The following is a 16,426-nucleotide window of genomic DNA, read 5'->3' as shown; positions in this document are numbered from 1 at the left end:
AAAGACCCAGCTATACGCTGCCTACAAGAAACTCACCTCATGTGTGAAGAAACATATAGGCTAAAAGTGAAGGGATGGAAAAAAATATTCCACAAAAATGGAAACCAAAAGTGAGCAGGAGTAACTGTACTTATATTAGACAAAACAGACTTCAAAAGCTATAAAAAGAGACAAAGACGCTGTATAATAATAAGGGGGTTAATTTGGCAAGGGAATATAACACTTAAAAATATATATGCACCCAACACCAGGGTACCCAGGTATATAAAGCAAATATTATTATTAATAGATCTAAAGGGAGAGATAGACCCCAATAGAATAATAGTTGGACTCTAAAACCCCTCTCTCAGCATTAAAAAGATCATCTAGATAGAAGATTAACAAAGAAACATTGGATTGAAACTACACCGTAGACCAAATGGACCTGACAGACCTTTACAGAACGTTTCACTCAACAGCTGAAAAATACATTCTTTTCATCAGCACATGGGAGATTCTCCAGGATTGACAATATGTTAAGACACAAAACATGTCTCTACAATGTTTTAAAAATCAAAATGATACCAGGTATCTTATCTGACCACAGTGCAACAAAACCAGAAAGCAATAACAAGAGGAACATTTGAAACTGTACAAATACATGGAAATTAAACAACATGCTCCTGAATGACCAGTGGATGAAGGAAGAGACTAAGAATGAAAATTTAAAATTCCATACTCACTTGGGCAGCACAGATACTGTTGCAGGCCGAAAGGAAGTCCCTCTGCGCCTTCCTTAGTGGCTGCTGCAGAAAGTGAGGGTGGTGATCAACTCAGTATACCACTGGAGGGTATGTGGGTAAACAGCAAACTGTTCTCAGAAAAGCAGAACGTTGGCAAACTGGTAAACTGACAAACTGCTTCTGCCGCCCAGAAGGAATACTGAGGCAGTCACGACCCAGGCACAAGTGTTTCTTGTGATTAGCTACAGGGCACATCTGAAGGCTGTTAGTAATAATATGCACCTGTGATCAATTAAGCAGCTGAGCAATCATTACCTCCTCCTCCCTGCTCATTCTACTCAACAAATAGGAAGGGCTGTGGAAGCTCAGGTGCTGTTCATGCTCACCGGAAGCTGCGAGTGCTCTTCTTCTTCCCCTGGCCCCTTCCTTTAAAATACTTACTTTTGTTTTAAGTTTTCATTTCTGCGTTGGTCCCCCTTTGTTCAGTCCTGTAGAAACCGTGGCAATATCCTAAAGTGGAAATGATAGAGAAGATTAGCATGACCCCTGCAAGGAAACGTGCAAATTCATGAAGTGATCCATATTTTTAACAATGAAAAAACTTTTAAAAATATTAAATTCCTTGAAACAAACAAAAATAGAAACACAATGTGCCAAAACTTCTGGGACACAGTAGACGCATTAAGAGGTAAGTTAATAACAATAAATGCATACATCAAAAAACTGGAAACCTTGCTGAGGGTAGTTAGTGGCTCACGCCTGTAATCCCAGCATTTTGGGAGGCCGAAGCGAGTGGATCACTTGAGGTCAGGAGGGAGCACTTGCTGGGTTTTGAGGATGGCACACGCGGATGGCACGCCCAGCTCACTGTCTCCACGCCTTAACTTGGGCTGGAGGCTGCTCCTTGCTGCCCAGGGGTCTCTACCCACGTGAATCCTGTGGCCTACGTGACAATCCGCTTTAATCCAGGCACTCACATTCCTTCCACCCATCAAAGTCAAGATCAAGTTCTGAGCTCAGCCGCAAAGCCCTGTGAATGAACGGCAGTTCCCCAAGCACCCAGCTGTCCGACACCAGGATCTGGAGCCACTGGGATGTGGCTCTCTGTGCTCCCGCCCTGGTTATTTCCACTTGACTCTGAACTAGCTGGACGGCTTGGGCATGGTCAGTGTCCTTGGTCTGGTCCCTGGCTTGGGCATGGTCAGTGTCCTTGGTCTGGTCCCCGGCTTGGGCATGGTCAGTGTCCTTGGTCTGGTCCCCGGCTTCCTCATCGGGTAGCATGTGGGCTGCTGTTGGGAGTTTCAAAGATCCCTCGCAATTTTGTACCAAGTCCTGGGACTCGGCAGTCAGAGAGCACCGTGTGGCTTTGTCTCTGTTCCTTTTTATTGTTATTGCTATTCTTATTTTAAGACAGGGTCTCACTCCATTGTGTGGGCTGGGGTACAGTGGCACATTTGTGGTTCATGCAGCCTTGAACTCCTGGGCTCAAGCGATCCTCTCACTTCATCCTCCCGAGTAGCTGGGACTACAGGTATGCACAACCATGCCAGGCTAATTTTTTTTTTTTTTTTTTTGAGACAGAGTTTCGCTCTTGTTGCCCAGGCTGGAGTGCAGTGGCACGATCTTGGCTCACCGCAACCCCTGCCTCCCGGGTTCAAGCGATTCTCCTGCCTCAGCCTCCCAATTAGCTGGGATTACAGGCATGTGCCACCATGCCTGGCCGATTTTGCATTTTTAATAGAGACAGGGTTTCTCCATGTTGGTCAGGCTGGTCTCGAACTCCTGACCTCAGGTGATCCACCTGCCTCAGCTTCCCAAAGTGCTGGGATTACAGGCATTAGGCACTGTGCCCAGCCAATTTTTTTATTTTTGTAGAGACAGGGTTTCACCATGTTGCCCAGGCTGGTCTTGAACTCCTGGCCTCAGGAGATCCTCCTGCCTCAGCGTCCGAAAGTGCTGGGATTACAGGTGTCAGCCACCATACCCAGTCCCTCTGCGCCTTCCTTAGTGGCTGCTGCAGAAAGGAAGGGACAAGCTCTCATCCAAGGTCTCCTCGTGAACCGCTGCCTGGGCCCCCACTGTCCGGGCCGCCACTGCAGGCTTCTGGCCCAGGTACCCTGGAGACCCCCAGGGCAGAGCTGTGGCTTCTCCCCACACCCCAGGTTGTGCTTATGGCCCAGTGAGTTGTCGGATGGGAGCCCGGCTCCTTTCCCTCAGCCTTCTGGGGAGCTTTTGGTTTGGGTTTTCATTTTCTGATGAGGAGGCTGAGAAATGACTTCTGAAGTCGGGATTTTCCCTCAGGTCTGACTCTGCAGCCTGTGGGTCCCACCTGCACCTGCGGGAGAGACGGAAGAGCCACCTCGGGGGCGGGTGTGGACAGGCCCACCCTGAAGAAGGAAAAGGCTTCGGACCAGAAGATGGAATGGGATCACTTCCTTCCCCGACTAAGGGCGAAGCCTCTGGCAGGCATCCCTTCCTGCTCCCTCCGTGTGCTGGTGGGCAGGGGAGACACCACGGTGAGGCTCTGTGGGCTGATAGGGGCTGGGCACACAGGACCAGAAACCGCTGGTCATCTCCCCACACCCGCCTTCCCACAGCCCCAGGGAACCCAGCTGTCTTGGAGGGGATGGGACGCCTGACTCTGCCAGCAGTGGCTGTTCTCTGAAGAAGGCGCGGCCTTTGAACTCAGACCAGTCTCCAGCGCAGGCTGGGGCTGGGAGGGGACGTGCTGGAGGAATGACCCAGGCAGCTCAAAGTGGGTTCCCTCTTTCCTCTCAGGAATTTCCTGGGGGGACCTGCAGGATGACCTATTTCTACATGATTATGCCCTGAGGACAGAGTCCCCTCATCCCAAGGACAAGGGAAGGGTTATTTCAGGGCAAGTTGCCCCAAATTCTAAGCAAAAACAGAGTTTAGGATAATAAAAGTGAGTTTCTGTCACTGAGGACAGGGAATGTGAAGAGCCACCCCCTACCCCATCCTGGGTTGTGCTCACCCGGGTGCAGCTCTGCCATCAGCAGACCTTAGAGGCACCAGGAATCCAAACTGGGGGGCCAGGAAGGCACGCGTCTCCTCCGTGCACGGGTCACTGCCAAGACTCCCGTGGAAACCGGCCTGGGAACACCTCAGGCTTTGTTCTCCGACCGGTCACTGCCCAGGCCTCTGCGGCCATCTGCTGACCTAGCGTCATTGTGGCCACTTCTGCTCCAGGAAGCATTCCTTCCTTGCTCCGAGGACACTGGAGATGTTCATGGCTGTCCTGGAGAAAGCGGCCAGTGGGGGCAAAGCAGGTACAGACCCCACACACTCGGAGGCAGGGTGTGGCAGGGCCCCTGGTGACACAGCAGGGACAATGAAGTCCAAAGGGGGCGGAATGCCCCAGAGAGATGGGCACCAGCATCGTCATACCTGTCCCCCCGACCCCCAGAGACCCCACGCCTCCCCACCAGATCTTTCACTGGCAAAGGAGGGGCTGCAGGCTGTCTCCATCCTTATTTTCTGGTTGGGAGCAGCAGAAAAGGGTTTGGGCAGGAGACATGGCATAGACCGTTCACAGCTGCCCTGCTGTCTTCGGCCATCCAGGCTGTGTCCTGCGATTGCACAAGCTCTGCCGTGAAGCCGCTGGAAGTGGCAGCCACCTTCCTGTTTGTTCTGAGGAGAGGGTACATCCGATGGCTTTGGACCAGCCTGAGGGGGGTCAGGTTTCTTTTTTTTTGAGACGGAGTCTCACTCTTTCGCCCAGGCCGGGGTGCAGTGGCGCTATCTCGGCTCACTGCAAGCTCCGCCTCCCGCATTCACACCATTCTCCTGCCTCAGCCTCCCAAGTAGCTGGGACTACAGGCGCCTGCCACCACGCCCGGCTAATTTTTTGTATTTTTAGTAGAGACGGGATTTCACCGTGTTAGCCAGGATGGTCTCAATCTCCTGACCTCGTGATCCACCCTCCTTGGCCTCCCAAAGTGCTGGGATTACAGGCATGAGCCACCGCGCCCGGCCGAGGGGGGTCAGGTTTCGTATAAAGTCCTGGGCAGGTGGAACTGACCATGTAATTACAGCTGTGTGAGTTGGAATTTCGGGGGCGGAAGTCCTGCATTTAAAAGCTGCTTGAGCCAGGCACGGTGACCACGCCTGTAATCCCAGCGCTTTGGAAGGCCGAGGTGGGTGGATCACCTGAGGGGTCAGGAGTTCGAGACCAGCCTGGCCAACATGGTGAAACCCCCGTCTCTACTAAAAAAAAAAATTACCCGGGCATGGTGGTGCGTGCCTGTAATCCTAGCTACTTGGGAGGCTGAGGCAGAAGAATCGCTTGAACCCAAGAGGCGGAGGTTGCAGTGAGCTGAGATCACGCCACTGCACTCCAGCCTGGGAGACAGAGCGAGATTCTGTCTCCAAAAAACAAACAAACAAACAACTGCTTGAGGGGAAAGTATGCTCTAGAATCCCTTCTGGTCCCGACGGGCGACTGAGAATCGCAGAGAAGCTGAAGGGAAGCCATGGGGACAGGTGTACAGCCCCTTCCCAGACACACTGCGGGCAAGGCCCACCCAGTTCTGCAGCCCCTTCCCGGACACACTGCGGGCAAGGCCCACCCAGCTCTGCAGGCACCCAGGACAGACATGCCGTGGGTCCTTCTAGGTCCTCTGACCTCTGGCATAGCTCAGGACTTCAAGTCCCTCCATGACAAGAGGCACATGGGAGCCGAACCCCATGCTCACGATGTCTGTCCCCTGGATGTCCTTAGATCTTGCAGGGGTTTTGCAAACAGGCTGGACATGCCTGTCTAGAGCCGACTCTCCCCTGCCCCATCTCCAATCCCGATTTCAGATCATTTAGCATTTGCTTGTCTCTAAGGTCCCCCCTTGCCACTGCGCACACTCCCTGGCTCCAAGCGCCCGAGGAGCTCCACCAGCCCTTGCTCTGCACTCCACAAGCCGAGCCTGGCCAAGGCCTGTGGGCGTCCCAGGCATCCCGGGTGCGGAATGTACGGCCTGCTGCGTGGGCAGAGGAGCACAGGCTGGCACAGCGCAGCTCATCTGCTTACACACCCTGCCCCGCGTGACAATCCTTCCTGAAGGCAGCTCAAGGTCTTCGTGGGCCCCAAACATGAAAACCAGCTCCTAGGGAGTCGGGCTGGGTCCCTCCCACCACACGCGGACTCTCCCCGGGAGAGCTGTGCAGCTGCCGTGTTCCCCGTCTCCCACCTCTCCGGCCGGGTCTGAACACCTTGGGCTTGCCCGCCTTTGCTCATCCGGCTTTTCCGGCAACACGGTCCCATCCCACTTCCCGGAGTCACGTGCGCTCCTGCGGGTCTAATGACCTCCCACTGGTCTGAGGAGCTGCAGCCAGAACCCTGGCTTTGGGTGTGTTGCTCTGGTGGACACAGTCCTGCTGAGGCCGGTCAGGAGCCCGCCCTCCTCGTGCGCCTTTACTGGGGGGGATGACGTCGGTCACCATGCCCCGTGCTATCAACTCTGCAGAAGAGCAGCAGTGTCACAGCGGTGTGGAGGGACACGGCGGGGCACACACCTCAGAGATGCTAAGGGATGAACCGCACTGCACTCGCAAAGGAGGCCCAGCCCAGCAAAAAGGGGTGATTTTCTTTTTTTGAGATAGAATTTCACTGTGTTGCCCAGGCTGGAGCGCAGTGGCACGATCATGGCTCACTGCAGCCTCAACCTCCTGGGCTCAAGTGATCCTCCCACCTCAGCCTCTCAAGTAGATGGGACTACAGGTGCACGCCACCACACCTGGTGGATTTTTTGTTTCTGAGACAGGATCTTGCTCTGTCACCCAGGCTGAAGTGCAGCGGCACAATCTTGGCTTACTGCAAACTCCGCCCCCTGGGTTCAAGTAATCCTCCCATCTCGGTCTCCCAAGTAGCTGGGACCATAGGTGTGCACCATTATGCCCAGCTATTTTTTATATATATATATATATATATATATATATATATATATATATACATACATACACACACACACACACACATATATGTATATATGTGTATATATGTGTATATATGTATATATGTGTGTATATATGTATATATGTATATGTATATATGTATATATATGTATGTATATATATATGTAATTTATTTATTTTTGAGATGGTGTATCATTCTGAGGCCCAGGCCGGAGTGCAGTAGTGCAATCTCAGCTCACTGCAACCTCCACCTCCCAGGTTCAAGCGATTCTCCTGCCTCAGCCTCCCGAGTAGCTGGAATTACAGGCTCCCACCACCATGCCTGGCGAATTTTTGTATTTTCAGTAGAGATGGGGTTTCACCATGTTGGCCAGGCTGGTCTCAAATTCGTGACCTCAGGTGATTTGTCCACCTCTGCTCCCAAAATGCTGGGATTACAGGCATGAGCCACCATGCCCAGCCATATATATATATTTTTAGTAGAGATGGGGTCTCACCATGTTGCCTGAGCTGGTCTCGAACTCCTGAGCTCAAGTGATCCTCCCATCTCGGCCTCCCAAAGTGCTGGGATTACAGGCATGAGCCACGGTGCCCAGCCAATTAAAAAAAAATTTTTGTTTTGTAGAGATGGGGTCTTGCTATGTTGCCCAGGCTGGTCTTGAAATCCTAGGCTCAAGTGATCCTCCCACCTCAGCCTCCCAAAGTGCTGGTATTACAGGCATGAGCCACAGTTTCTGGCCAATTAAAAAAAAAATTTTTTTTTTTTTTTTTAGAAATGGGGTCTTGCTATGTTGCCCAGACTGGTCTTGAACTCCTAGGCTCAAGTGATCCTCTGCCTTGGCCTCCCAAAGTGTGAGGCTTACAGGTGTGAACCACTGCACCCAGACCAAAAGGATTTAAGAAGTGACAGGAGGCCAGGCGCAGTGGCTCACGCCTGTAATCCCAGCACTTTGGGAGGCCGAGGTGGGTGGATCACGAGGTCAGGAGATTGAAACCATCCTGGCTAACATGGTGAAACCCCGTCTCTACTAAAAATACAAAAAATTAGCTGGGCATGGTGGCAGGCGCCTGTAGTCCCAGCTACTCGGGAGGCTGAGACAGGAGAATGGCTTGAACCCGGGAGGTGGAGCTTGCAGTGAGCCGAGATTGCGCCACTGTACTCCAGCCTGGGGGACAGAGCGAGACTCCGTCTCAAAAAAAAAAAAAAAAAAAAGAAAGAAGTGACAGGAAAAGATGAATGATGGGGAGGAGGAGACACTGGGGGCTCATGAAAGGTTCCAAGGGGAGAGGAAGCAAAGGCCACTACCACAGCCCCTCCCCTCCATGCTGGCACAGGCAGGGCCCAGGACAGATGCAGGTTTGGGATGCCCCCGGGTCTGCCGGGACAGTAGCCACTTGCTGAGCACCTGTCACGGCCTAAGCCCAGGAGGTACGCTGATCGTCCTGATGACCATCCCCACCTTACAGGCTAGAACACGGAAGGGCATGGAGGCTAAGAACCTTCTTGGCCTGGGCCACACAGGTCCTAAGGAGTGAGTTTTGGGTTTTCATCTAGAGGCCTCCAGACCCCCAAATCCAAGCCTCCCCCGTAACACACTGTCCCACGGAAACACACTTGTGCTCCCCATCTGTGATCGATGGAATGGGCCAATTCAGACAGTAGAGGCACGCTGGGATCTGGCTGGGTTCAAGCAGAGGCTGCGCCAGCAGCTGTGAAGTGAGGTCACACATGTGACCTTGCTGGCATTTCCCATCCCTGGATCCTAAGACTTCGGAGCGGCTCCACCTGGCAAGTGCTATGAGGCTGGGACCGACTGCAGGGCAGCAGCCGAAGCCATGCGGAGCCCTCCGTGGCCTTGTCCTCTGGTGCCTGCCCCTGTGACTGGGCCTGTCCCTCCCCCAGGGGTTCAGCGGCAGGGCATGCACCTGCTGGTGTACGTGCACGTGTGTGTCTGTGTGTGCATGTGTGTGCACGTGCACCCTCACAGGCCCCCTGGCCACACGTGGGACGATCAAGGCTCACGTCCAGGGTACCTGCGGTTGGACTTGTTCCTGCCCAGCCCAGGTGCAGGCCGCCTGCAGTGGAAGAGCTCACATCCAACAGCAAAGCAAAGCTCAGGCCACGTTGCTAGCTTGCTAAGACGTCACGGGACTGTTTGGTTTCTTCATCAAGTTCCTTAGCCCTGGGGGGCCACTTTCTTCAAGAAGGGCTTTTATCTCCATGAACCCTGCTGCTGTGTGAGCCACCTGGACAATTCCGGGTTCTCAGGCACTATGCTCAGAAGAGACGTGAAGAAGGCCAGCTGTGGTGGCTCACGCCTGTATTCCAAGCACTTGGGGAGGCCGAGGCAGGTGGATCACCTGAGGTCAGGAGTTCGAGACCAGCCTGACCAACATGGAGAAACCCTGTCTCTACCAAAAATACATAATTAGCTGGGCATGGTGGCAGGTGCCTGTAATCCCAGCTACTTGGGAGGCTGAAGCAGGAGAATCGCTTGAACCCGGGAAGCAGAGGTTGCGGTGATCCAAGATCACACCATTGTACTCCACAGCCTGGGTGACAGAGCGAAACTCCGTCTCAAAAACAAACAAACAAACAAGAAGAGACATGAAGAGGATGGTTTCCCAAGCCCACTTCCTAACGCTGCCCCTTATTCTTCAGGTGTGCCCGTGTGTGTGCTGGGACGTGTGTACATGTGTGCATGCGTATGGCTATGAAGGTCCCCACACACATGGTGTGTGCATGCATGCACATGTGTACACACTCACATGTCCCAGAATGTCAGGTGGCAGGGACTGACTCCTACGTACTGAGCTTCTGGGTGAAGCGGAGGTGGGATCTGGGCCAATAAAGGCAGGCAATGGGCCTCATGGTTAACCTTGGCCCCTCTCCTGGGTGAGCCAGATGCCTGTGATGCTGGGGGTGATGAAGTCCGAAGGGGTCTGCATGGCTGCCCCCCAGTGCCCGTGAGCACTTGTGTTCAAACAGGCGAAGTGGGGTTCAGGCAAGTCAGTCCCTCTTGTTAGAGGGCAAGGCCTGACCCACCCATGACATCCCCATACCAAGTGGCACCAGGCACTTCACTTTCATCTCCCGAGAAAACAACAGAACATCATGCAAAATTCTGGGTGCTCTGACTTCAGGATATATTTTAAAAAATAAATGGCATCTGGACGCAGGACTTTGAGCCAGGCCTTCCCAGCTTCTCAGGAGCTGGGCTAAGCACCAGCATGGACCTGTCACCCTCACTGATGCCATTAGGGAAGGAGGCAGCCCCGGAGCAGAGAGCATGTCACCAAGGTTGCCAGGGCCATTCCCAGGAGCATGTGGACACCCAGACTCTTCAGCTTAGCTTATTTTTAGAAGACACGAAACGAGAACTCGGAATATCTTTTGGTTCTAACAAGAGTTTTTGTTTTGCTTTTTAATAAAGAAGAGAAAGGGGTTCCTTGGTTTTCTCCACAGATGAATGTTTTTACAAAAAAAGAGTAGTTTTGGATGTATACATGCCACTTAGGAAAACCTTTTGTCCTTGATCGCTTTTAAAACCCTTTTTTGGACATCATCAGGTCATTTTGCGTATTTTTGTGGACTGGCTGATTTCCCCTGTGTTTTTGCCAGGTGACCGCTCTCCTTTTCAATTTCCCCTCCCAGAAAGCAACTCGTAGGGAAGGGAGGGCCTTGAAAAGTGCCATCGGCAGGATGGCCTCCAAGGAAACAGAGCCCGTGGGAGTGGGCTCTGAAGGTGGGTGGCCCCATGGGACAGGAGTGCCTGGTGGCCCTGGTTTCCCCTTGGAGACATCTATGCAGACTGGAAACGAAGAAACAGAAGGAGGCACGGAGTCGCTTTCTCTTATATTGTGGATATTTTATCCCTGTCTTTCACAGCAGCAATTTTAATAAACAGATGCCTGCAGCATTTCACCACTACACAAGAGCTACTCGCGCTCGGGCAGGCGCACACCTGCCTGTGTACACAGGTCCTCGCACAGCACGGCAAACGCAGCCAGGCCTTTGGGACACAGGCCTCTGAAGTGTAAGTTAGCAGCCCTCACCCCGACAAGCTTCTAAAGACCAAAAATACCTCTATCCTCCACTACATAAAGCTTGTGAGTAGCAAAACTTGTAAAAATGAAGTGTACAAAAGGAAACATCCGTATAATACATTTGCACCCTGTATACAATGGGTCCCTTTGAAACTGGCCAACAGTCAGCGATGGCAGATTTTCAATCATAGAAAAAGAAGCCAGTGGCTGTCATGCGCACTCAGGTCAATGGTTTGTGTGGGTTCTCCAGAGAGAGAGATTTTCCTTTACAGTTACAGTACTTGCTGGCGATCTTGCTGATTAAAAGGCCAGTTGAATTTCCTGGCATTTAGGCAAGTAACATTTGATTGTCACAACGTACAATTCTGAGACAATAAATACAAGTAGATCAGATGCATTTCTTCATTGTATCAAGTAACTCCAGTTTAATGTAATACAATTTAGTGCATTTCAGTATCTCATTCACAGTTCGACTTCTGTCCAAATACTTGTGCAACAAAAAGTTAAGAAATGGAGACGAACTCCAGGTGACATTGTCATTACACAGCTTCAAATTCTAAGACAACTCAATGATCTTTGAAAAGCGTACGCTGCTGTTGCCTGGGCCGGCGACACCAATGTCCCTGGTAACTTCCTGGGCTCCCTAAAAGTGTTCCCGTCATTCTATTTCCCGAGCAGTTTGTAAGAATGCCACCATTATCCCTGAATTAACAAGCAGCCAGTGGCGAGTGTTCATGATAAAACTGAATTCATGTGTCCACCCCACTCCAGCAGATCAGTGTGACATCTTTTACGCAAAAATTGTTTTTGCATCCTGGCCCCGATAGGCAGGAATACGGAGCCGGATGTCTGCATCCCCCAGGTCGGCCCCACGGCAGGGGTATGGGGCAGAGCCAGGGCGGAGTCAGGGGTGTGGCCGGCCCCATCCCCCGAGGCCCGAGGGGGCTTGCCTTTGGTTTGGGGACTAGCTCAGTAGAGAAAGGGGCAGGCACACGGCCGGGGACGTGCTGTTTCCAGAAAGAAGGCAGGCAGGCTTTTCGGGCTGGCCGTTTGAACCCTGAGCCTAGGTGCAGTGCAAGGGCTAGAAGCACATCGCGCCGTGGAGCACTAGTATTGCACGCCAGGGGCTGCATGCAGTGAGCCACAGGCCAGAGGCCTGCAGCGGGAGTCTACGCATGGGGCTGAACAAGTCAGGTGAAAATCTGCAGGGCTGGAGAGATTATACTTGGCTTGTTGTAGAAGTGTCTCAGGTAGAGACAAAGCATGCAGAAACTTACTCATTCTTCACCCCAAATCTGACCCCAACCGGTAGTCACAACAGGCATGGACAGCCTGGCAACAGCTACTCAATTGCACGTGAGTGAAACACACAGCTGGGTCCAACCACGGCTTTTCCTTCAAATCAACATCAATGCTCAGCAATACCGCAACGAACAGCGTGAGGAAAGATTCTCATGCCACGGTGCGCGAAAGGGAGTCGGGACAGGCAAGGCAGAGAGACTCAAAATTCATCGACAGGACGTGCTTTTTTTTTTTTTTTACACAAGAAAGTGCTGCTTACATTGTTGTTTTGTGTTATTTAGTGATTTGTTCAGCGCTCATCTCTTCCACCAGACTGCGCTTCCTGAGGACAGGGACCTTAAAGCACCTCACATAGGGTGCGCGTCTGGTACACTGTCGCCGAGTACCAGACAACCAGTGTCTCACACGGGGGAAGACGATGAAGACAGCAATGGCATCCTTGGGAAGATGGGCAGGAGACCCCATGACACCTGGCACCTGGGCCTAAGCTGGGAGGCCAGCGGCGTCCCCAGGAGACCACGGCCCAGGCTGGGAGCTTGACCGGCCAGACGCCCGTGGGTGGGCCTGGGCCCTCCCGCCTGGGAGCCTCCAGTGTGGCGCCTGGCTCTGGGTGGGTAACAGGAGCTACAGGCCAGCAATGCCCTTCCTGTCCTCGGCCTGGCTCAAGGACTGGGTGCAGAGGGCATCAGCGATGCCAGGCCTAGAATGTGCCTCACCCCGACAGTGGCCAGCACGGACTGTGGGCTACAGAGTTGCTTCAGCCTGAGCACTCAGCCTGAATTTGGACATAACATCAACTGAATTAAGCTCAGAAGTAGGGTGTAAAGGAAAAAGAAAAAAAAAAGACTGTTCTGGGATTTATGAATTTAATTTAAAAAATGTAAAGGAGCTCTCCTCCCCTTTTCCTTCTGGATGAAAAGCAAAATCCACCCTCCCCCCCCCAAAAAAAAAAAATTCAAACATTCATGGTGTAGTTTTTATTGCTCTTAAAGACTTGGTGTTGAGAAGCACAAGCTAAGCTGTGAGATGGGAAGGAAACCAGATGAGGTGTGACCCCTGCGCCTGGGCCTCCGTCTCCACTCTAACCTAGGGGCTGCCCAGCTCCGCCATGGCTCAGTGCAGAATTTATACATTATATATTAATTTCAAAGGGAGGGAACTTCTATGGGAAACAATAATAATTAAATCATAAAAGATCTAAATTTGCATTTTCCAGGTCACATATGTGCATGGTCGTACCCTTCAGCTTTTTTCCTTAAAGATTTTGCAGGTGTTAGTGAGTCAGTGAATGGCATGGATCTAAACACACATGGAGACGGATGAGCAGCGTGCGGCATGAGGAAGGTGCAGGAGAATCTCTGGGGTGCTCAGCCAGGGGAGCGCATGCCCTGCCCACGGCACAGCTGCCCGAGTGGGCGGGTGGAGGGATGAGATTTCAGATGGAGGGAAGCACATTTCCAAAACAACAGTGTCTGCAAGCGTGTCTCGCATGGTGTCGTTGGTCTCATCTGGTTTCGTTGGTCTGCCCCTTCACCCCTGCGAGGAGCCGTGCTCTGAGCAGGTGTGCACAGGTGGCGTCCCGCACACGCCCTGAGAGCACGGCCCCCACAGACCCGGGGCCCGGCAGCGCCTCCATCATGCAGAACGCTGCCGTCCCCTCCAATCTCCCCAGGACACTTAGGCCCGATGCCTAATTATGTTCTCGGTTTACTTTTCTTCATGCCTCTTTTCTCCATTTGTTTTCCCCTAGAAAACTCAACCTACCTCTATTCAGAACGCTGGTTTCAAGATATCAGAGATAACACCCATTTTGGTTTTTTTACCTTGCTAAAAAGATGAGGGCGCTGTGACTTAGAACAAGCAAGTCGAAAGCCAAATGCAGGTGGGCTGATGGTACCGCAACCAAGTTGAGCGTTCTACCACTGCCATTGCCCCAGGGGCCCCACCTGGCCATGCCGGGGGAGTGGACATGCTGTAGGGAGAAGCATCCCTCGCTCGGCGTGGGCCAGGGGCTCGCTGCAAGGCCAAGGGAGCCAGCATGACCGGCCGAGCGCTGCCCTCTGCTCTGCCTGGACTCTCAGAGACGTCCAGGAGGTAGGGAGCTGGGCGCTCAGGGGTGGCCGGGCCACAGTGACACCGGCCAGGATGGGGGCGGGCCTTCCCCAAGGACACAGTGCGAGGCTGGGGGGTGGGGGGTGCCCCACCTCTAGTTTCCAGCAGGAAGTTGAAAACCACCAAGAGATCAACCAGTAAAAATAAAATCTCTAGAAGTCAATGAGCTCAGTGTTAACAGTCTCCAACCACCTTTAAAAAACAGAGGGTTGACGGTGCCGTCGCTTCTTCTGAAGCATCCTAGAGTCCCACAGGCTGCCCTGTTCTCCCTCCTTGGCTCCTGATCTGTGGGATGGGGGGGCGCGCGGTAGCCCCGAGGGTCCTCCCTCCCCAGCACCCAGTGTGGAGGGACCAGGATCTGACAGCCATGAGAGCGACAAAGGAGCTTTAGGTGCATGGAGAACTCTGCATTTCACTGAGTTCTCAGGGGCCCATCCACTTTAAAAACAGATGTACGTATTTACACACAAGGTCAGATAGGAGCTAGGACAGACAGGGCTCTAGAAAGTGAGGTGGGGCGTTCGCCCTCAGCCAGCCCCAGGACAGGGCAGAGTGAGGGCTCCGACTTCGAGGAATGGACCTGACGTTCGTGCCGGTGTGCTTATCACTACGGGCGCCCTCCACGGGGCCCCCACTGGGAGCCAAGGTGCTGAGCCGAGCGATGCTCCCGGGGGACGGGACCCGGCCGTCCACTCCCAGGAGGACAGCAGAAATTCATTACGAGACAGTTTCGGGGGCGGGGGGTGCAGAAGAGGTGAGGGGCCAGGTTAAGTTCCCAAGATAACTGATTAAAAACCAAAAAATTTGATCTAAGTTTAAGGAGAGAAAGCAGCCAAAGGCTCCCTCTTGGAAGCGGAGTTCTGGAGAGACGGCGTCCGCGGGAGGCCTCTCCGGCCGGACCCACCTCCCACGGGCGCGCGTGGAGATGCTGGGACCCTGCGCTGTGGGAGGCTGAAGACTTCACCTGACAGGCCTTCTGAATTCTTTACTCTTGGCTCAAGTTTTGTTAATATTAGTCACCAGTTAATAAGAAAAATAGTTTCTAATTGTCTTTTCCTGCACTCTGTGTGTTGGTTTTGAGTTAACTGGATACCACCGTCAGGGCCGCGTGTGTTCAGTCACAGCCATTAATTATTCCTTTTTCTTAAACTCTTGGTTTCCGTAGCTGGAGCCTTTTTCTATCTCAGTTACTCCTATCAGTCTGCGAACTCCAAAGGAAGCTTTCAAGACAGGAGAGAGAGAGAAGAGGTGAGACGGATGACTTTGCCTTTTTGCTGTAAAACGTGTTACTGGGGCTTCCTTCCTCTGCCCCAGACCCTGTCCCTCTGCCCCGCACCCAGTGGCCTCTGCTGTCAGTGAGTAGGTGTGGCCCGCGGGGAGACAGCCCTCTCAGACCGTGGTCTGCTCAGGCAGGGGTGAGGGGCACGTCTTCTGACCGGCTGGGTCCGAGGCAGGTGGACACGTGGACCTTGCCCTGCCTGCCCCTCTGGGTCTTTGGCTGGTGGGAGCAGAAGGGCTTCGGGGCATTCTAACAGCTCGGCCTTGCAAACCCAACAGGTGACAGAGGTGGACGAGCAGGACCCTCGGATGTAAGCAGGTCACATCCTGTCCTCTGTGGGTGGCCTCAAGTCATCTCGTAGTCCAATGGGAGAGGCTGGTGGCAGTCACTGCCTCTCAGGACCCCTCCCACCAAGGCCCCTGGCAGGGGCGGCAGGAGCAGGGGAGGAGCTGGCCCAGCTGCTGGGCCTGGGGAGTCGGCTCACGGGGCGATGCACACGGACTGTGTCTCCACGGACAGAGACCCCTCAATTACGGGGTGTGGGTGGGCGCCGGAGCTCACCACAGGGACAGGCTGGGTGTCTGTTCGGCCCCAGGCTAGCTGATGAGTCGTGGTGGGCCTGGCATTGTGCCTGGGGTGGGCACACAGTGGGGAAGTCACTGGGGGTCAATGGGGAGGAGCTGAATGATGATGTCCTGCTTAAACCTCCCGAATGGCCAGCCCAGCCTGACCCCTAAGAGCCCAAAAGCAGACAGGGGGGCTGGGGACCCTCTCGGGGACCCTCTCGTCGGCATCCTCAAGGGCGCCAGCCAGTGGGGCTGCAGTGGGGATGGCGCCAGGTGGCGGCCGTTCGGCTCTCTGGGGAGGCGACCCTCAGCTCAGTGCAAGAATCCAGGCTCTGAGGCCCGCAGGCCGTGGGGGGATCCTGGCTCCAGGGTCCATAACAGCCAGGCCCCTGCCTCCCACAGCCACTGTGATGAGTCACCAGGTCCCGGACCCTGTGGCTGATACTGTGAGGCCCGTCAGAGTGTGAGCTGTT

General features: G+C 53.5%; 1 protein-coding gene, 1 long non-coding RNA gene and 1 pseudogene across 29 annotated transcripts in view, besides 5 other annotated features; 1 reads left to right on the top strand and 2 right to left on the bottom strand.

The window, feature by feature from the left end:
• Positions 1–120: 120 nt before the first annotated feature.
• Positions 121–4,104, bottom strand: LOC105372829 (uncharacterized). The gene is made up of 3 exons (XR_937781.3): positions 3,718–4,104; positions 1,164–1,232; positions 121–785 (listed from the first exon to the last, which is right to left on the bottom strand). It is a non-coding gene; the product is annotated as an uncharacterized LOC105372829 (long non-coding RNA).
• RNU6-1150P (RNA, U6 small nuclear 1150, pseudogene) lies at positions 1,212–1,310 on the top strand (annotated as a pseudogene).
• A 5,935-nt stretch (positions 4,105–10,039) lies between the features above and the next one.
• Positions 10,040–16,426, bottom strand: part of AGPAT3 (1-acylglycerol-3-phosphate O-acyltransferase 3) — a 122,370-nt gene continuing 115,983 nt past the window's right edge. For all 28 annotated transcript variants that reach the window (XM_047440922.1, XM_047440916.1, XM_047440921.1 and 25 more), the window contains one exon: positions 10,040–15,328. In XM_047440922.1, the coding sequence (XP_047296878.1) occupies positions 15,240–15,328 (89 nt within the window). In that variant the 3' untranslated portion in view covers positions 10,040–15,239. The remainder of the gene's footprint in view (positions 15,329–16,426) is intronic.
• Positions 11,158–11,688: an enhancer, noted in NCBI's record as "H3K4me1 hESC enhancer chr21:45405825-45406355 (GRCh37/hg19 assembly coordinates)". NCBI's record gives its function as "activates a minimal SCP1, AML or CMV promoter by ChIP-STARR-seq in primed H9 embryonic stem cells {active_cell/tissue: H9 hESC(primed)}" and the evidence as "EXISTENCE:reporter gene assay evidence [ECO:0000049][PMID:30033119]".
• Positions 12,449–12,508: a silencer, noted in NCBI's record as "silent region_13375". NCBI's record gives its function as "represses an Ori minimal core promoter by ATAC-STARR-seq in GM12878 lymphoblastoid cells {active_cell/tissue: GM12878}" and the evidence as "EXISTENCE:reporter gene assay evidence [ECO:0000049][PMID:35858748]".
• Positions 14,141–14,902: an enhancer, noted in NCBI's record as "H3K27ac-H3K4me1 hESC enhancer chr21:45402611-45403372 (GRCh37/hg19 assembly coordinates)". NCBI's record gives its function as "activates a minimal SCP1, AML or CMV promoter by ChIP-STARR-seq in naive H9 embryonic stem cells {active_cell/tissue: H9 hESC(naive)}" and the evidence as "EXISTENCE:reporter gene assay evidence [ECO:0000049][PMID:30033119]".
• Positions 14,903–15,664: an enhancer, noted in NCBI's record as "H3K4me1 hESC enhancer chr21:45401849-45402610 (GRCh37/hg19 assembly coordinates)". NCBI's record gives its function as "activates a minimal SCP1, AML or CMV promoter by ChIP-STARR-seq in primed H9 embryonic stem cells {active_cell/tissue: H9 hESC(primed)}" and the evidence as "EXISTENCE:reporter gene assay evidence [ECO:0000049][PMID:30033119]".
• Positions 15,665–16,426: an enhancer, noted in NCBI's record as "H3K4me1 hESC enhancer chr21:45401087-45401848 (GRCh37/hg19 assembly coordinates)". NCBI's record gives its function as "activates a minimal SCP1, AML or CMV promoter by ChIP-STARR-seq in primed H9 embryonic stem cells {active_cell/tissue: H9 hESC(primed)}" and the evidence as "EXISTENCE:reporter gene assay evidence [ECO:0000049][PMID:30033119]".

Source organism: Homo sapiens, chromosome 21 (assembly GCF_000001405.40).
Source record: "Homo sapiens chromosome 21, GRCh38.p14 Primary Assembly".
Classification (NCBI taxonomy): Eukaryota; Metazoa; Chordata; class Mammalia; order Primates; family Hominidae; genus Homo; species Homo sapiens.
The sequence above is the reverse complement of the archived record's forward strand: the minus strand, read 5'-3'. Positions and strand labels throughout refer to the sequence as shown.